Source organism: Homo sapiens, chromosome 16 (assembly GCF_000001405.40).
Source record: "Homo sapiens chromosome 16, GRCh38.p14 Primary Assembly".
NCBI classification, from domain to species: domain Eukaryota; kingdom Metazoa; phylum Chordata; class Mammalia; order Primates; family Hominidae; genus Homo; species Homo sapiens.
The window spans coordinates 88,239,118-88,259,622 of NC_000016.10; the positions used below are offsets into that span (position 1 = coordinate 88,239,118).

Sequence of the window (20,505 nt, forward strand, 5' to 3'; positions counted from 1 at the left end):
GTGTAGATTAGACATGTCTGCCATGGTGCGGGTGAGGGAGGTGGGGTTGTGCCGAAGTCTCTGCCATCGGCTATTCTCTGGGGTTTTTCTACTGGTCCTACTCGTTTTTGTTCATTTTATAATCCAGAGTTGTGAGTTGGGTAGATCAGCTGGGAAAAAATTGAAAAGTAGTTGTTTTAATTATTTCCCCTTTATGTGGTTAAAAAGAAGATGAAGAAGATTCTTTAAGTTCTAGCATTGACTGTTGAAAGCCACTTATATAAAAGGTGCCAAGAACTACAGGATTCTTTCATCTACTGCTTTGCTTCAGGTGAGACTTGGAATATGATGGGATCAGGAATGGGTCTGAGTGCGAATTTTCATGATGGTCTCTCTTTTTTTTTTTTTTTGAGACGGAGTCTCGCTCTGTCACCAGGCTGGGGTGCAGTGGCGCGATCTCGGCTCACTGCAAGCTCCGCCTCCCAGGTTCACGCCATTCTCCTGCCTCAGCCTCCCGAGTAGCTGGGACTACAGGCACCTGCCACCACGCCCGGCTTATTTTTTTTTTTTGTATATATATATATATATATATATATATATATATATATATATATATATATTTTTTTTTTTTTTTTTTTTTTTTTTAGTAGAGACAGGGTTTCACTGTGTTAGCCAGGATGGTCTCCATCTCCTGACCTCGTGATCTGCCTGCCTTGGCCTCCCAAAGTGCTAGGATTACAGGTGTGAGCCACCATGCCTGGCTAACAATCACTGTGGTCTCTTAATGACAGTGTTATCTTGCATGCCCAGAAATTTACATTATTTCCAGCTTGAAATTGCCCAGCTAGGTAGGTATTACAATCTGATGGTGGAAAAGCTCAGGCAGACCTGCCCAGGCCCCATTGGCGGTGGAGGGGCTGCTGCTCTGGCCTGTGCTCGGGGCCATCGATCCTCCTGCCCAGAGAAGAGCCAAACACCCATGCCCATTGGTGACTGACCCTGAGCCGGCGATGCTGGCTGCCTATGATGATTTAAGGGGGTGATTCTCAAAGCCTGCTCTGTCCTGCCAGCCCCAATCAGCAGTGGGAGGTGCTCCCGGTCATTTCTGGAGGTCAGGACGTGTCTTCTCACACGGGTTTCTTTCACTTAGCCACAGTGTGGCCTGACCTTCAGAAATGAGTCACTTAAGGAGGAGTGGGAGGAAGTCCAGTCATTCCTCTAATAATCGTGTGATGGGGGAAGAGAGAGAGATTTGGAGGGAGGGAATGAGAGAGGCAGAGAAAGAGCATGGTGGGAGAGAGGCCACAGCTAGCAGCTGACAGTTGCCCAGGGCTGCGTGGGGAGGCTGGCCTTTCTGTATGGGATCGGTCACGGGCATGCTGACCGCCTGGCCTCAACACTGTGCCCACCAGGTGCAAGAATTGAAAAGGGAATGCACTAATATGCAGAACGTGGGGTCCACAGAGACGCAGATGCATCAACCAGAGAGCGAGAGAAGCGTCTCTGGAGCTGGGATAGGCCACTGTGTAAGATGCAAGGCTGGAGAGTGGGTATCTGCCAACCCCAGAGCCCTCAAAATAGGGGAAATTAACCGCTCCAGGTGGAAGGCAACTTAGGGATATTTTGGAGACAGGCACATCACCACTGTCACCTGCAGCCACGGGCAACCGCGAGTTGGTTTGAAGGATGGTTGAAAAGAAAAGCCCCTTGTGATGGAAAAGTCCTTCCCGGCCCACTTCCCCTCCCCAGCTGACGCCAGGGACCCTCAGTGTGCCCCAGCCTGCACCGCCAGCCCTCTCTCAGTGGGGGTAAGAGACACACAAGCCACCTGCCACCGAGGCCCACCCCAGGGGCTGGGCGGAAACCCCATCTTCCTGCAGGCCCTGGCTGCCAGGAGGGCCGCCCACACCATGTCAGACGCTGCCTGGCAGGGCTCTGCCATTGTCCCTGCTTGGTCACGGAGCAGCATGGGTTAAAAGTGCTATTGTTAGGCCGGGCGCAGTGGCTCACGCCTGTAATCCCAGGACTTGGGAGGCTGAGGCAGGCAGATCACTTGAGGTCAGGAGTTTGAGATCAGCCTGAGCAACATGACAAAACCCTGTCTCTACTAAAATTAGCTAAGTGTCATGGCACGCACCTGTAATCCCAGCTACTTAGGAGGTTGAGGCAGGAGAATTGCTTGAACTCGGGAGGTGGAGGTTGCAGTGAGCCAAGATCGCGCCACTGCACTCTAGCCTGGGCGGCAGGGTGAGACTCCCTCTAAAAAAAAAAAAAAAGCCCTATTGTCACATGAAAAGTTTATTTGTTGGGGACCTGTAAGGCTCAAGAGAATAAACCCAGACTTGGTGGCAGCTCTGTTGGTGGCTGAGCTCTGGGGACAGTGCTCTCACTGGGGTGGGCTCAGGTGTCACCAGGGCCCAGGCGACAACTGGGGAGCCAGCACTGAACCAGACACAGTGGTTGTCCCTCCCTTGCACTCATGACAGGCTCAGGGTCCTGGCAGGCGCTTGCAGAGCCCACTGGCAGGGAGTGTTGACATCCGGTCCCCACCCATCCCGATCACACCACTGATGTCATCACCTTGTACCCCTGGGATGCTTCATGGCCTCTCCACCATGCACACTGGAACATGGGGAGAAGGATGCCATGTCTGAGGTGGTATGAGATGACAAGGAGCATGCTTGGGGCCGGTGGAACAACGTGCTCCCAGCTGCCCCTGCCCTTCAGGGTGAGGGACCTGCTCCAGCAAGTTCAGGGCCCCGTGGAGACTCAGCCTGGAGAGGAGAGGCTCAAGGGCTCCTCCCGGAGTTCTGGGAATGTGTGGGAGATGGGGGCACCCTGCAGCTGGAAGGCGCTGTTTCCCGCTGCTGTGCAGACAGGATGGGAGGAAGGGGGTTCATGCCGTACCCAGGGAATTTGGCGAGACTGTTAAAGGCTGAGCAAGGAGCTCATGAGGCTTTGGTGGGGCTGGCATGGGTCCCCCAACCCTGGACGTCGCAGACAGCACCACCTGCAGGTGGCCCAAGCCATCCTTCAGGAAAGGCACTCGAGCCCAGCGCTCTGCAACCGGCTCTAGTGGTCAAGGGTGAGGAGCCTGGAGCCCCACACTGGGCCCTAAGGTTCAAGGGCTTCTCATCAGCGGCTTCTCATCCGTCTCACCCTGGTCTGCAGCTTCTTCTCTAAATGCATTTTCAAAATTCAAAATGCATTCAAAATTCTTCAACAATGCATTTCTGCACAGCTCTGGAGGCCAGAGTCCGAGTCAGGGTGCCGGCAAGGCTGGCTCTTCTGAGGCCTCTCCCTGGCTTGTCGAGGCCGCCTTCTCCTTGTGACCTCACTTGGCCATCCCTCTGTGCATCTATGTCCTAATCTTCTCCTAGAAGGACACCAGGCAGATTGGACTGGGGCCCACCCAGATGACCTCATGCTACCTGAGTCACCTCTCTAAGCCTGTCTCCAAATACGGTCACATTCTTAGGCCCTGGGGGTTAGGACTTCTACATGTGCACTTTGGGAGGACCTAGTTCAGCCCAGAGCAGATGGGAGGAAGCTCCAGCCTGACCACCGCCCCCTTTCCCAGGCAGGGTCCTAGGCAGCAGCGGGTTGAGGGTCAGCCTGGTTCCCACAGCGAGGATGCTAGCCATTGCCTGAAAGCATGAGGCATCTCCGGCACATGGGGCTTGGCACTGTCTCTAAAGCCCAGGGTGTTTACACATTCCTGTCATGGAGGGGAAAACCCAAGGAGCAGCAGCCTGGAGCACGCATTCACCCCTGCCTGCCAGGGCTTCGGAAGGAGCTAGCTGGGAAACCATGAGTCAAGGAAAATCCTTTATGGAATGAACAAAAACAAAAGGAACAGAAGCCTTTGACTCAGCTCACCGAACCCCACAGGGAGACACTGATGCGGTGGGGGATGTCTACCCGCCTAGTGTCTCCAAACTCACTGCTGGCCAGCCCGGGTATTCTGCATCCCCTGGGCCCACTTTCCGCTGCTTTATCATCACTGCTCATGACAGGGCTCAGCAAGTGGCTCACGAGGCTGGAAGACAGTGAATTGTCCTTGGCTGGTGGCCAGCTCATAAGCTCCTCATGTGACCACCATAGAATGGCACCCACCTGAGATAGTCAGTGTTGGTCCATTGGTCACCAGTGCTGACAGATCCGTTCACAGCCTGACAGCACTCACTCTAAGCCTGCTCAGTCATGGATGCCTGTACCACTGAGCTCTTCCATGGTCATACCAGTAGGATCCAGTCCCTGTCTACAAGAGGGTTCTGGCCACAGTTGGGATGTAAGATATACCCACCCCTTCTGGAAGTTTCCTCAGATTCTCCAGGCACAGAGCGTCCATCAGTTGTGTTCACATTTGGCACTTGTCCCCTCCTCTGTAGTCATCTGCTGATGGACCTCCCCAAGACTGCATTTCTCAAGGACAAGCGAACTTGGGTTCCCAGGCGAGCAGAGGGAGTAGAGCATCTCCTTCAACCCCATGGTCCCTGCATGTACGTTAGCAGGTGGTCCAGAGGAGATGCCTCCTCTGTGCTGTTTGGATGGATGGGTGGGTGGATGGGTAGATGGATGGGTAGATGGGTGGACAGATGGGTGGATGGATGGATAAATGGGTGGATGGGTGGATAGATGGGTGGATGGAAGGGTGGATGAATAGATGGATGGATGCAAGGATGGATGGATAAAGGAATTGGGTGAATAGATGAATAGGTGGATGCATTGATGGAAGGATGGATGGGTGCATGGATGGATGGTTGGATGCATGGGTGGATGAGTGGACAGGTGAACTGATGGCTGGCTGGATGCATATATATATATATATATATATATATATATATATATATATAAATGTATGTGTGGATGGATGGATGGATGGATGAGTCAATGAGTGAATGGATGGATGTACGTATGGGTGAGTGCACGGATCATCGGTGGATGGGTGAATGGATGAGTGCATGGATGGATGAATGGATGGATGGATAGGTAGATGGCTGAATGGGTGGGTGGGTGGATGGATGGATGGATGGATGGGTGCATGGGTGGATGGGTGGATGTGTGGATGGACAGATAGGTGGGTAGGTGGATGGATGGGTGGATACATGCATTTATGCATGCATGGATGGGTGGGTGGGGGTTTGGGAGGGTGAATGCATACATGGATGGGTGAATGGATGGATGGATGAATGACTGGATGGGTGAGTGGATGGTTGGATGGATGGGTGGATGAGTGGGTTAGTGGATGGGTGAATGGGTGGATGGATGGATGGGTGGATGGGTGAATGCATGGGTGGATGGATGGATGGATGGATGGATGGATGGATGGATGGATAGGTGGATAGATGGATGGATGGGTGGAAGGATGGGTGGGTGGATACATTGATGAGTGGGTGGATGCATGTATTCGTGGATGGATGGATCAGTGAATTGATGGATGGGCAGGTGCATGGCTGGATGGGTGGATGGATGCATGGATGGATGGATGGATGGATGTGTGGGTGTCTAGGCAGATGGATGTATAAGTGAAAGGATGGGTTAGTAGATGCATGAATGCATGGATTAGTAGATGGGTGGGTAAATGGGTTTATGGATGGATAGATGAATTGATGGGTGGATGGGTAAGTGGATGAGTGGGTGGATGGGTAGCTAAACAGAGGTATGGCTGGGTAAGCATAAAACAGTCACCTAAGTTTGACAACTGGTGCATATTATATGCCCAGTGGCATGGCTCAGAAAGTTTATGATTTAGGAAAGCAGAAAAACTTATGGTCCCCAGGAGATGTGGAACTTGGTGCCAATGACAAGAAGAGACCCTCTGAAGTAGTGCACAACCCTGGGACACCAATATATCACTGCTAAAAGGAAGACCATGAACTGATCAGAAGACCCATCGGAAGACTAGGCCTTGTCCTACAGTCCCAGCACTCCTGAGCAGCAGGACACACCCGTAGGGCAAAGGAATTTTGTTTCCGAGGGAAGGAGCATTTGGTCTCTGTGGACCCTTCATCAAGGGTCATGTTGCTATGAGGGAGGGGAGGAAAGAAGGGGTGTGTTCTGAGGGGATCAAGTCCTTCCTGATGAAGATGTCTCAGCAGAGGTACAGTCATGTGAGCCTGGTGCAGCCTTGCTGCAGCATGAGGAACTTAGGACCGATGTAGTAAGGACTTCGGGCTATGAGGATGATTAAGTAGAGGAGGAGGCTGTGACTCAGTCCTGCAGGCTGTGGGAGCAGAGCTGTTTCTCATGGTCTGCTGCTTGCTGGAGTCTGGCTCCAGAACAGTTGGAGAGAGGATGCGTAGGCTCTTGGCCTCTCCCTCCTGGACCGTCCTCCCGCAGCCGCTGTGAGACTCAGCAGGGCTGAAGTTCACTGCTGTCATCTCCCTCTGTGGGTCCTGGAGATGAGCCCTGAGGCTGGGAGGTCAGCTGCCCAGGAGAAATCCAAGGCTGACAGGCAACAGTCGCCTCTGAGCTTTCCCAGATGAGTCACCACGTGACGGTCACCTTCCTCATCCTCCACAAGCCCAAATCCCGAAGAGGGGAATTCTCATCCCCAAGTGTCCTTCTCCCCCTTGCCTACAGAGCTCATGAGTCAAGACTCCCCGGCCTATTTTTAGGCCATTTCTTCAGATCACACGGTGGGCAGGGTTTGTTTACTCTGGATCAGAGCTGCTCTGGGAACTCTCCATGCAGCCACCAGACACTAGAACAAAGACCAGTGAGGAAGGATGACTGAAGTCCAGACATTGAGCGTGCCTGGTGTGTGTCCCGGTGACAAAGGCAGCCGAACAGACCACAGGGACTGGGGCTGGAGCAGTACATAGCCCGGGGACATCCTCCTGCCTGGCTCAGCAGCTGGAATGGTTGCTTTGGCTCATCCAACAAAAGCAGAGAGGACGCATCCGCCTGGGCGCCATGCAAAGTTTATTGGACACAGGAAGGTCAGCCAGTGCTCAAAGGGCTTCCCTCATGCAGCCATCAGCTCTGGCCCCAAGCCCCTGGAGGGCCTCATTCATTTATTCTTTGCTCCCCATGATGTTCTGAGAGCAAGCCAAGGGCAGGAGCTCCGCCTTGCCCATGTTCATAACCCCAACTCTACCACCAGAAAAGACTCAGTAAAGTCTGTGTTCATTCACTTACTCATGTTTTCATTCATTTATTCATCCCTTCTGTATTTAACATTTGCTGTGCACCTGATGTGTCAGGTACCAGTTCCATCTTCAGGAAACTTTACCCAGGAGACTGGCAGAAACAGGTGTGATAAGCGTCATAGTGGGGGAGCAAAGGAGCTGGGGGACCAGGAACCCCATCTCAGAGCAAGCCAAGTAAGGATTCCCAGATGAGGGGAGAATTTGTTGAAGGACCTGTAGGCATCAATCAGGCATGGAGACGGGTAGGAGGAGGCTGTCTTGGCACACTCGTTCTCACACTTCAGCCTGCATTAGAATCGCCAAGAGCGCTTGCTAAAACACAGATCACTGGCACCAACCCAGAATTTTTTATTCGTAGGTCAAAGTGAAGCCCAGGAATTTACATTTTCAACAAGTTTTAGTGATGCTGATCTGCAGGTACAGGGACCACACTTTGAGAACCACCGCTTTAGGGAGCAGGAGCAGCAAGGGCAAAGGTAAAGAGGTGACTGTGAGTGAGTGAGTGAATGAGTGAGTGAATCAGTGAGTGAGTGAGGGAGGGAATAAATGAGTGAATGAGGGAGTGAATGGTGAATGAGTGAGTGAATGGTGAATGAGTGAGTGAATGAGCAAGTGAATGAGTGAGTGAATGAATGAGTGAGTGAATGAGTGAATGAGTCAATCAGTGAAGGAGTGAGTGAGTGAATGAGTAAGTGAATGAATGAATGAGTGAATAAGTGAGTGAATGAGTGAATGAATGAATGAGTGAGTGAATGAGTGAATCAATGAGTGAGTGAATGAGTGAATGAGTGAATGAATGAGTGAGTGATTGAGTGAGTGACTGAGTGAGTGAATGACTGAGTGAACGAGTGAGTGAATGATTGAATGAGTGAGTGAATGAGTGGATGAGTGAGTTAGTGAATGAGTGAATCGTGAATGACTGAGTGAATGAGTGAGTGAATCAGCGAGTGAATGAGTGAGGGAATAAGTGAGTGAATGAGGGAGTGAATGGTGAATGAGTGAAGGAACAAGTGAAAGAGTGAGTGAGTAAATGAGTGAGCGAGTGAATGAGTGAGTGAGTGAATGAGTGAGTGAATGGTGAATGAGTGAATGAGTGAGTGAATGAGTGAGTGAATGAATGAGTGAGTGAATGAATGAGTCAATCAGTAAATAAGTGAGTGAGTGAATAAGTGAATGAATGAATGAGTGAATAAGTGAGTGAATGAGTGAATGAATGAATGAGTGAGTGAATGAGTGAATGAATCAGTGAGTGAGGGAATGAGTGAGTGAGTGAATGAGTGAGTGAGTGAATGAGTGAATGAATGAGTGACTGAGTGAGTGACTGAGTGAGTGAATGACTGAGTGAACGAGTGAGTGAGTGAATGTTTGATTGAATGAGTGAGAGTGAATGAGTGGATGAGTGAGTGAGTGAATGAGTGAATCGTGAATGACTGAATGAGTGAGTGAGTGAGTGAATGAGTGAGTCAATGAGCGAGTGAGTGAGTCAATGAGTGAGTGAATGAGTCAGTGAGTGAATGAGTCAGTGAATGAGGGAGTGAGTAAATGAGTGAATGAGTGAGTGAGTGAGTGAATGAGTGAGTGAGTGTATGAATGAGTGACTGCTTGGGTGAACCCAGCTCCCATGGTTGGGTCATGTCCAGATTTGAGTCTTCTCAGCTGAGCTGCCAGACATCCAAATTGCTGACCCTCGGAACGTATAAGCATTGTTCAGTGGTCGTCCCAAGCTGTGACGCGGCTGGACGGAAGGCTATCAGAGCAGCCAGCCTCAACCAAGTGGGAGGCCACCCACACAGGGCTGCTCCAGTGGGGTTGGAGAGACAGGCCACAGCCAGGTCAGAGACAGATGAGAGCCAGAGAACCAGTCTCTGACTTTGGGGGCTTGTGAACCAACCAGTGGGATACACAAGGAGAGAAATAGAATTGGCCATTTTTAAGGGAACAGAGAAAGCACTCTTAGGGTGAGAGAGCTTGCCTTCAACGTAGAAGTGCATTTAGTAACCACTGTGGAAATTATCAAGAAAAATTCAAAGCTGAACCAGGCCTGATAGGACCAAGCGTGAAAAAGGCGGTCAAATGGATCCGTGTCTTTGATAAAAGCTGTGAGCAGACATTCGGGGACTGAAATATTGGTCCAGTTTCTCTCTCAGAGTTGCAACACTCTCTAAAAATTCCCCCCAACTGCCAGGCACAGTGGCTCATGCTTGTAATCCCAGCACTTTGGGAGGCCAAGGCAGGAGGATCACTTGAGACCAGCCTGGGCAAGATAGTGAGACCCCTGTCTCAAAAAAACAATTCCCCCCAACTAATTTTAACTTGTGTAGAATTTATAAAACTTGAGTGTATGCTATAATAGTACCATGAGAGAGGAAGATGGGCTAGTTATAACATTAAATAAAAGAGAGAGTGTTATAACATGTTTATGAACTCAGCATCATGGAACTTTGGAGTTAGAAACCTTTGCATTTATTCATCTGGACTCCCCCACATTGCAGATGACGAGACGGGTACAGGGAGGTCCAGCCACTCATTTCAACAGGTCAGCCAGTAGTAGCAGAGCGGGGATCAGAAGCCAGCTGTCGGGCTGAGGCAGGTGCCCTTTCTCCACTTCAAAGCTTTTCCTTTGTCTGGCAGGGATGATCTCTCTGTGTGCGCACCATGGTCTCAGCCTCAGTCTTTCCCTCCCCGCTGTGTCCCTCGGCCTCTCTGTCCACCTTCCTCAGTGTGTCTGTCTCCCTCTGTGACTGTGTGTCCGTGTGTCTTGCAAGGCCCCTGGCTGTCTCCCTCTCACGCTGCACACACATGTCTATGCGCTCTTTTTAACCCCACATCCATTGCTGATGCCCCAAATGAAATAGCCACAGGGATTATCCAGTATCCCATGTCCCAGGTGCCCCGAGCCACTGCTGGATAGTAGCTCCACTCCTTTTATGGGTAAGATAACAATATGCCGTCAATACCCACAGCCAGCTTCTGTTTAAAAAAAAAAAGAAAGAAAGAAATGGGGTCTCAGGCTGTTGCTCAGGCTGGAGTGCAGGGCCACAATCATACCTCACTGTAGTCTCGAACTCCTGGGCTCAAGCCATCCTCCCACTTTAGCCTCCCAAGCAGGACTCCCAAGATGGGACTACACCACAACTGCCATTTTTTTTTCTTTTTCTTTTTCTTTCTTTTTCTTTTTCTTTTTTTTTTTTTTTTTTTTTTTTTGAGTTGGAATCTTGCTCTGTCAGCCAGGCTGGAGTGCAGTGGCACCATCTCGGCTCACTGCAAGCTCCACCTCCCTGGTTCACACCATTCTCCTGCCTCAGCCTCCAAAGTAGCTGGGACTACAGGTGCCTGCCACCACGCCGGGCCAATTTTTTATATTTTTAGTAGAGACGGGATTTCACCGTGTTAGCCAGGATGGTCTCGATCTCCTGACCTTGTGATCCGCCCACCTCGGCCTCCCAAAGCGCTGGGATTACAGGCGTGAGCCACCACGCCCGGCCAATTTTTTAATTTTTTTATAGAGACAGGGTCTTGCTATTTTGCCCTGGCTGGTCTGGGCTCAAGTGATTCTCCCTGCTTGGCCTCCCACATTGCTGGGATCACAGGCGTGAGCCCCTGCACCCAGCCCCCATGACCTGCTTCTAGATCATGTGTGACTCCTCCTCACCCCAAGGCCCCTGTGCCAAGTGCTCCTCCCTGACCTTCAGCATAGCTGGTTCCTTCTCGACCTCCAGGATTTGGGTTGAAGTTGGCTCCTCAAGTGAAAATGTCGCTTACCTCTCATTATTCTCTGTCTATCCCTTTTTAAAATTAAAAACATTCTTACTTTGCAATTCAAGTATAATGTATGTGCAGAAAAGCGAAGCTGTATATATCTAATGCAAAGCGTTTTCACAAAACAAAGCCACCAATCAGATCAGGAAACGGAACAAGACCAACACCCCAGAGATGCTCCTACTGCACCTCCGTGGGACTTCCCTCTCCTCTTCACTAAAGGGCGCTGCCATTTTCACCTCTATCACCTTGAGTTAGTCTCGCCTATTTGAACTTTATATGAGTGGAATCATATCACGTTATTCCTGTGCATTAGGCTTCTTTTGTTCAATATATTTTTTGTGAAGAGTTATTCATTCTGTTACATGTAGCTCTAGTTTATAATTTTTATTGCTGAATAGTATTTCATTTTGTGAATATAAAACAGTTTGTTTATCCATTCTGTTGTCGACGGATTTGTTTATCCTGCCCGGGCTTCACTGAGATTCTTAGAACTGTAAATTTATGTTTTGCACCAAATCTGGGAAGTTTTATGTCATTTCTTCACGTATTTTTCAAGTGACTTTCCCTCTCATGCCTCTGGAATTCCATTTCCACATAGGCTGCACTGCTTGCGGTTTTTGCATAGGTTTCTGAAGTTCTATTCCTTTCTTTTCAATAATGTTTTCTCCATTTTTCAAATTAAGTAATTTGTTTTCACTTATTTCCAGGTTCTCTGATTCTTTCTTCTTCCAACCCCAATCTGTTTAAAAACTAGCAAGTTTTTAAAATCTCAGTCATGGTACTTTTGAGCTCCAGATTTATCACGCATCTGTTGTAGTTTCTGTTACTTTGTTGAGGCTTCCTACCTGTTCGGGGTTTTTCCGTTTTGGGGTTTTTTTGTTTTGAGATGGGGTATTGCTCTGTCCCACAGGCTGGAGTGCAGCGGCATGATCTCGGCTCACTGCAAACTCTGCCTCCCGGGTTCAAGCGATTCTCCTGCCTCAGCCTCCCAAGTAGCTGGGACTACAGGCACCTGCCAACACACCCAGCTCATTTTTATATTTTCAGTAGAGACGGGGTTTCACCTTACTGGCCAGGCTGGTCTCAAATTCCTGACCTCAGGTGATCCACCCGCCTCAGCCTCCCAAAGTGCTGGGATTACAGGCATGAGCCACCGCGCCCGGCCTGTTTGGTTTTTGATAGCACATTTTCCTTCAGGTCTCTGAACACATTTATAACATCTCATTTGAACTCTCTCTGTGAAACCCATTATCTGGATTAACTGGGAATCATTTGTTCTTGAGCACGAGTCACACTTCCCTGTTTTGTTGAATGTCATTTAACATTTGGACATTGCATGTGTCATGTCTACATGCACGTGTCAGGTAATCTACATGTAGAATGTAGATGCTATGTCGGCAGCAGCTCTGGAATCTGTTGTGTTCTTCTGAAGATTGTTGCTTTTTTTGTTCTAACAGCTGTCATGTGCTGGATTCTAAGGACAAACATTGCCATCTCTGTGGTAAGCAGCTAATGTCCCTGCTGTCTTTTTTTTTTTTTTTTTTTTTTTTTTTTTTTTTTTTTTGAGATGGAGACTTGCTGTGTCGCCCAGGTTACAATGCAGTGGCGTGATCTCGGCTCACTGCAACCTCCACCTCCCGGGTTCAAGCAATTCTCCTGTCTCAGCCTTCTGAGTAGCTGGGACTATCAGTGCATACCACCACACCTGGCTAATTTTTGTATTTTGAGTAAAGACAGGGTTTCACCTTGTTGGCCAGGCTGGTCTCAAACTCCTGACCTTAAGTGATCCACCTGCCTCGGCCTCCCAGAGTGCTGGGATTACATGTGTGAGTCACCGCGCCGGGCCCCTGCTCTCTTCTTATGGCTCCAGCTGCTGATTTTTAAGCCTGAATCCTGGAGATTTTCCCTGCACCTGTGCAACGGGGCAGGCAGCCATGGATCTGGGCTAAGGCTATGCTCAGATTTAGGGTCTCGGTGTCTCAGTGGCTTCCTTGCTTCCAGTGAGTACTCCTGAATTTCCACAGCTCTGCCAGCTTTGGGCTCTGTCCTCTTCAAGCATCTACGGCTTCAGGTGTCTGCCTCTTGAGCTGCACACAGCTGGGGCATGCACTCATTTAAAAAGGCAGCAGCACACAGACCTTGCCCTGTGCAACTCCATCTTTCAAGAAGTGGCTCCACTCTGGCGTTTCCCTGCTTATTGATGGCTGCCTGGGACTCCCTCTGCATATGCACAGTCTAATTGTCAGCCAGGGATTTGGGCAGAGCTCACCCTGGGTGTGGAGTTTCAAGCCAACTTTTCTCACTGCCAAGATCTCCCCTGTATGTATATACTCCACACCCAGGCAGTCTTGCCCCTCATCTCTGGCACCTGGAGTCTGTCGGGCTGTGATTTCCACCAAGGCTGTGCCGTCAAGACAGAAAGCTGCAAACTCACAGCTCCTAACACTTCCATTTGCAGTTGACAGTCACCTCTCCTCTGGCTTCTCTTGGCTTCTCATCTCTTTATAGAGTATTTAAATCATCACTGTTTACATTTTATGAAGTGTTTGGAGTTGTTATCTGCGGGAAGGTTCACATAACCACTCAGCTCTCATGCCATTCCCAGAAGTTCTTCGCTAAATACTTAAGTATGTTGATATCTATAGAGACTATGACTTCATTTGAATAAAGTATATATACACGCATGTGTATGTGTGTATTACTGAAGCATAACTTACAGTAATAAGCACATATGTTAAGTGTGTGATTTGATGAGTTTTGACAAATGTATAGCCTATATAATCAACACTCATATGAAGACATAGAACGTTTTTCACCCCAGAAATTTCTCTCATCTCTTTTCCAGTCAGTTCCACCAACATCTCCCAGAGGCAGCCACTCTTTGAATCTCTATAGCCTGCGTTATTTCTGCCTTTTCTTGAACTTCCTTTAAGCAGAATCCTATAGCATACGTTCCTTTGTATCTGCCGGTTTTTTGCTTCACATGGTGTTTTTGAGATTACGCTGTTGTGTATTTCAGTGGCTCATTGCTTTTTATCACTGAGCAAGAGTCCATGGGATGAATGAATTATCACCGTTTCAGGTCACTTACTTGTTAACATTTGAATAGATCTTTGGAATGTTAGAGGGGTTTTGACTGTCATGAATAAAGTTGCTGTCAGCATTCTTATCCATGCCTTCTTGTGGCCACGTTTCATTTCTCTTATGTGCCTACCTAGGAATTGAAATGAGGGGTCGCTGAGCAGAAGACATTTTGCCTATTAGAAACCCTCGCAGAGATTTCCACAGTAACTCCCTGACGATCAGTGAGGGACCTGGTTGTCCCGCTTCATTACCTACACTTGGGCTTGTCTTGTTTTTTCCTTTTAGCTCTTTTAGTGAGCGTGAGGCTGCATCTCACTGTGGGATTTGCATTTCTAGTTCCCTGATGACTGATGATGTGGACCCCCTTTTACTGAGCTTAGGGACCATTTGTGGATTTTCTTGCATAAGGTTGTGTTCAAATCTTTTGTCCATTTTTTGTTGTTGTTGTTTTTGTTTTTGGAGATGGAGTCTCATTCTGTTGCCCAGGCTGCAGTGTAATGGAGTGATCTCGGCTCACTGCAAACTCTGCCTCCAGGGTTCAAACAATTCTTCTGCCTCAGCCTCCTGAGTAGCTGGGATCACAGGCGCCAGCCACCATGCCTTGGCTAATTTTTGTATTTTTAGTAGAGACAGGGTTTCACCATGCTGGCCAGGGTAGTCTCGAACTCCTGACCTCAAGCAATCCTCCCACCTCGGCCTCCCAAAGTGCTGGGATTACAGGCGTGCACCACCGCGCCCAGCCCTTTTGTCCATTTTTAACAGGTGGTTTGTCTTGTTCTTACTGGTTTGAAGCAGTTCTTTATATTATTTGATGTTCAGTTCCATGCCAAATCTACATTGTGAATATTTTCTCCTAGTCTGTAGCTTTTTTTTTTCCATTTCCTAATAGTGTTATTTAATGAGCAGAAATTATCAATTTTGATAAAGCCAAATTTAACTTTTTTCTTTTCTGGTTATTACTTTTGGCTTCTGTCTGATAAATACTTGCCTATCCCAACATCACAAAGATATTCTCTAGTGTTTTCTTCTGTAAACATTACTGCTCTAGGTTCTATGTTTAGGCAACAATGCATTGCAAATTCATAGTTTTGCACAGATTGAGATAGAGGTAGAGATTTATTTCCTTCCACGTGATCGCCAATTGTCCCTGCACCATTTATTAAAAAGTCTTCCCTTTTCCAAGTGAGTTGCCATGATGTCTTTACTAAAAGTCAGTTGTATATATGGGGTCTATGTCTAGATTCTCTAATTTTATTGAACTATTTGTCCATTCATACACCAATATAATACTTTGTTGATTATTGTATATTTATAGTAAGTCTTAAAGTCAGATAGTATAGCTCCTCTAATTGTGTTGTTCTCTTTAGAGATCATCTGGCAGCCGGGCATGGTGGATCACGCCTGTAATCCCAGCACTTGGGGAGGCCGAGGTGGGCAGATCACTCGAGGTCAGGAGTTCAAGAGTAGCCTGGCCAATATGATGAAACCCCGTCTCTACTAAAAGTACAAAAATTAGCCGGGCGTGGTGGCACATGCCTGTAATCCCAGCTACTCCGGAGGCTGAGGCAGGAGAATTGCTTGATCCTGGGAGGCGGAGGTTGCAGTGAGCCAAGATTGCATCATTGCACTCCAGCCTGGGTGACAAGAGTGAAACTCTGTCTCAATAAATAAATAAATAAATAGGCTATTCTAGATCCCTTTGCATCTCTGTATAACTTTTAGAAACAGCTTATCGACTTCCACAAAAAAAAAAATCAGCTAGAGTTTTGATTGCAAATGCTTTGAGATTACAGATAAATTTTGGGGAAAATTAACATTGTAATGGTATTGAGTGTTTGAATCCATGAACATGGTATACTTCTCCATTTATTTAGGTCTTATTTAATTTCTCTCAATAATCTTTTGACATTTTCAGTGTAAAATTGTTCAGTAGCTTCTTTTCTTAATATACAACTATGTCATACATAGACATGTACGATATGGGCTGTGCTCTCAAATTGCTTAGGGTCCGATAGCTGGGAGAAATAAAAAATCTTGGACAATGAGCCCAAGTAATTTAAGACATTCACAGTTGGGCTGTGGGTTGCTCTTGCCAATGTGCAGATGCAGGCTGCATATGTTGCAGGGTCCTCTCATTCATTCCTCAAACATTTATCAAGCATCAGTGATATGCCCAAACACTTAGAATATAGTGCTAAGCCAGATGGGTTCTATGGGAAAGGAAACTCAATAGTAATGATAATTATGTGCCAGGTATTTTCTACATGCTTTCCCTGTGTTATCTCATATCATCCCAACACAGCTATAAAGAAAGTGCTATTTTTAATAAACTTAATTTTTAGAGCAAAGTCTAAACCTCTGTTTTAAGTTCACAGCAACATTGAGCAGAAGGTACAGAGATTTCCCATATATCCTCTGCCCCCACACAGGCATTGCCTCTCTCATTATCAACATCCCTCACTAGAGTGGTACATTCATTCCAGCTTATAAACCTACACTGACACATTATTATCAACCAAAGTCCACGGTTTACGTTGTAAGAGTTAAAGAAAGAGGAAAGAATCCTGAAAAGTGCCTCAACAGTCCGAGACAGGTTTATTTTGGAGAATAAACCTGAGAGGGGCTTCTGGCCAATTTCAGTCAGGAGTGCTCTGTCTTACAGACTAAGAGTATGGAAGGGTTCAGGGCGAGAGAGCTTATCACAGCCTTAGGATGTTTCTGTGTGGAGGAGAAGTTTATTACAGGGTTGGAATGTCTCTGGTCGGAGGGAAGGTTACCTCTGGGCTGGCATGTCTCTGGTTACGGAAGGGTTTGTCTTAGGGTTGGCATGTTTCTGGTTGGAGATGTCATTTGTGATTTATGGTCATGCTGACATTAGCCATTAGGCTGATTCCCCTTGGGTTGGATTTAGGCCGTTTTTGATCATGGGGAACTTTAAAACGGTGGTACTTGTCCAAAATGGCGATGCTCCTGCTCTGTCATACATCAGGGTTCATTCCTGGTGGTGTACATTCTGTGGGTTTGGAAAAATTTCTAACAATATCTATCCACCATTATGGTATCATACAAAGTAGTTTCACCGCCCTAAAAATCCTCTCTGTCCTGCCTGTTCATCTCACCCTCCTGCCAGCCCCGGGCAACCACTCATCTTTTGATGGCTCTCACAGTTTTGCCTTTTCCAGGATGTCACATAGTTGGAAGCACACACTACGTAGCTTTTTAAGACTGTCTTCTTTGACTTAGTAATATGCACTTACATGTCCTCCACATCCTTTCATGGTTTGCAGCTCATTTCTGTTTAGTGCTGAATAATGCTCCACTGTCTGGATGGACCATAGTTTATTATCCATTCACTTATGGAGGGCTATCTTGGGTGCTCCCACATTTTGGCCACAGTGAATAAAGCTGCTATAAACGTCTGTGTGTAGGTTTTTATGTGAACATAAGTTTCCAACTCCTTTGGGTAAATATCAAGGAGTGTAATTACTGGGTGGTATGGTAAGAGCATGTTTTAGCTTTTTAAGAAGCTACCAAACTGTCTTCCACAGTGGCCACACCATTTTGCATTCCCATCAGCAATGAGTGAGAGTTCCTGTTGCTCCACATCCTCGCCCAGCATTTGGTGTTGTCAGAGTTCTGGGTTTTAGCCACGCTGTTAGGTGAGAGGCGATATCTTATGCTTATTTTAATTTGCATTTCCCTGATGACATGTGTGGTGAGGAGCCTCTTTTCTTTCTTCCTTCCTTCCTTTCTTCCTTCCTTTTTCCTTCCTTTCTTTCTTTTCTTTTCTTTTCTTTCCTTCTTTCTTTCTTTCTTTCTTTCTTTCTTTCTTTCTTTCTTTCTTTCTTTCTTTCTTTTCTTTTCTTTCGTTGATGGAGTTTCACTCTTGTTGCCCATGCTGGACTGCAGTGGCACAATCTCAGCCCACTGCAACCTCCGCCTCCTAGGTTCAAGTGATTCTCCTGCCTCAGCCTCCTGAGTAGCTGGGATTACAGGCATGCACCACCATACCCCACTAATTTTTTTTTTTTTTTTTTTTGCATTTTTAGTAGAGAAAGGGTTTTGCCATGTTGGCCAGGCTGGTCTCCAACTCCTGACCTCAGGTGATCTGCCTGCCTTGGCATCCCAAAGTGCTGGGATTACGGGCGTGAGCCACCGTGCCCAGCCGGGAGCATCTTTTCATATGCTTATTTGCCATCTGTGTATCTTCTTTGGTGAGGCGTCATTTAAGATCTTTGGCCCACTTTTTAAATTGGGTTGTTTATTTTCAAATTATTGAGTTTTAGGAATTCTTTGTATATTTTGGATAACAAGCCTCTCTTCTCAGATATTTCCATCAAAAATATTTTCTCCCAGTCTGTGGCTTGTCTTTTCATTTTTTGGCAGCATCTTTCACAGAGCAGAAGTTTTCGTTTTAATGAAGTCCAGCTTATCAATTATTTCTTTCCTGGATCCTGCCTTTGGTGCTGGATCTAAAAAGTCATTGCCAAACCCTAGGTCATCTAGATCTTCTTTTATGTTATCTTCTAGGAGTTTTATAGTTTTTCATTTTTCATTTAGGCCTGGGATCCATTTTGAGTTATTTCTTTGTGAAGGTCCATGTCTAGATTCATTGTTTGCAAGTGCTCTTTTTATGTGCATTGATGAGGTTTGGGAAGGTCAGTAACTTGGACAAAGCACACACCCTGGTCAGCAAAGGAACCCCAGACCATGCTTCTATCCATAGGGCTGAGCTGGGGCACAGCTTTGTGGAAACTGAGTTATGTATGAGACCCCACAAAAGGCTTAGAATCACTTCCCTTTTCCCCTCTCACTTCCTTGGCTCCAGAATGAGAATAGAATGTGCGTCCAGAAGCTCCTTTCAGTCTGCATCCTCTGACCCGTGTGCCCACATGCTGCAAGGGCTCTGATGCCCTCTATGAAGTACAAGGAAACACTTATAAAATAGCTAAATGTGCAGTTTTGCCCCAACCAGAGGTGATTGCAATAGAACCTGGTACAGACCAGTAGAAGCAGGCATTGACAATTCAAAGAAGAAATAATAGACAAACATAACAGAGAAAGAAACATAATTGAGAAACAGAAAAATTATGGGAGACACATAACAGAGAAAGGGTGTGTGTGTGTGTGTGTTAGGGAACAGCCACTATGTTCTAACTTTGGGGAAACATCATTAAGATCTCTGAATTACTGTGTCACAGAGGAAGGGATTTCAAGACCACCTGCTGACATTTGAGGATTTTGCTCAAGGAAGGTTCCTGGAAGGGAGGGGCCACTCCCATGAGACAGCACAGCTCAGCAGAGCTGAATGGCTCACCCCCCCACCCCCCCAGCTTACCCCCTACATTGCCGATGGCCTTCTCTGCCAGGGATAGGGGCCCTGGAGCCATCGGCTAAAGGAGGCCCAGCACAAAAGGTGCCCAAGTTTATTGAGGGTTCTGGGCTAGAAGTTTAAGGCAGTAATATTGGAGAGAACCTTCTTCGTGGTGACTCTAGCTTTGGGGACGCTAAGCATGGTAGCATTTGGCACAGACCCATGAGTTTAGACACTTGGAGATTTGAGCGTTTGGGTGAGGGTGACGATGATGGTGGTGGTGGTCCTTGTGGTTCTGATGAACTCGGATGACATTTTAGAGGGTTTGCAGCAATGCAGAAAACGCAGCCCCAGCCTCATGGAACTTGCGTTCTGGCAGTGGGAGGTGTACAAACAGCATCCCTCACAGTAATCCTTCTACACAGATGTTATGCTTATTCTACACTCAAGGAACCGAAGCTCAGAGATGTCCACAGCTTGCCCAACCCACACAGCAGGTGGTGGTGAGCCTGGATTTGAACTGCCTTGTCCGTGGGGTGGTAGAGATTTGAGCTGAGAAGACACACGTGCCTCACCAAAACTCGTGGGAGTATTTTGTTCTCAGGGGTGACTGAGCACGCCATTTCCTCTTGACCCAGCTTAGCTCAACCCTTCAAAGGACCAGAGAATGGTATGTGTGTCTCTTTCTCTTTAAGCAAACTTTCCTTAGGGGAAAAGAAAAAGCCATGCCACAAGGCAGAAGAAAGTCGCAGGAATGAGGCCGTGCGGCCAGGCCTCGCGGCCACCCACCGGCTTGTGAGTGGGAAGCAGTGGGATTTCCTCCCGGGCAAGCCGACCCACCCCCCGCCCCCCCGAAGCGGGCCAGAGAGGTGTCCTCGGTGGGTCAGGAAGGGTCGACGCCCCCTCCTTCCCTCAGCCGCATCCCGCGCCCCCATCCCTCTGCCCGCCAGATTCTGCGGAGTCTGCGAAACAAAACCGCCGTTGTTTCCAGCCGGGCTGCTCAGGAAAAACAACAGGTTTTTCCACTTTGGGGCCTTTGTAGATGTGGATGCCCCGCATGCTTCTCCTCCGCTGCAGAAGGCTGTGGTCTTCTGTTCATTTCGTCAGGAAATACTCTGGGAACTCTCCAGGGCCACGGCAGCTGGGGGCCTGTCCAGCCTCCAAACTTAGGGGTTCCCTGGGACCCCAGAATCCCTATGAGCCCCAGGATCT

At 47.8% G+C, this 20,505-nt stretch overlaps 1 protein-coding gene across 1 annotated transcript in view, besides 3 other annotated features; it reads left to right on the forward strand.

Annotated features, from left to right (window-relative positions):
• The window catches only part of ZNF469 (zinc finger protein 469), a 339,823-nt gene that overhangs the window by 138,187 nt on the left and 181,131 nt on the right, over nucleotides 1–20,505 (forward strand). The window lies entirely within an intron of this gene.
• Nucleotides 1,026–1,320: an enhancer, noted in NCBI's record as "tiled region #6305; K562 Activating non-DNase unmatched - State 23:Low". NCBI's record gives its function as "activates a minimal TATA promoter and a strong SV40 promoter by Sharpr-MPRA in K562 cells {active_cell/tissue: K562}" and the evidence as "EXISTENCE:reporter gene assay evidence [ECO:0000049][PMID:27701403]".
• Nucleotides 3,219–3,719: an enhancer, noted in NCBI's record as "H3K4me1 hESC enhancer chr16:88275942-88276442 (GRCh37/hg19 assembly coordinates)". NCBI's record gives its function as "activates a minimal SCP1, AML or CMV promoter by ChIP-STARR-seq in naive H9 embryonic stem cells {active_cell/tissue: H9 hESC(naive)}" and the evidence as "EXISTENCE:reporter gene assay evidence [ECO:0000049][PMID:30033119]".
• Nucleotides 19,589–20,335: an enhancer, noted in NCBI's record as "H3K27ac-H3K4me1 hESC enhancer chr16:88292312-88293058 (GRCh37/hg19 assembly coordinates)". NCBI's record gives its function as "activates a minimal SCP1, AML or CMV promoter by ChIP-STARR-seq in primed H9 embryonic stem cells {active_cell/tissue: H9 hESC(primed)}" and the evidence as "EXISTENCE:reporter gene assay evidence [ECO:0000049][PMID:30033119]".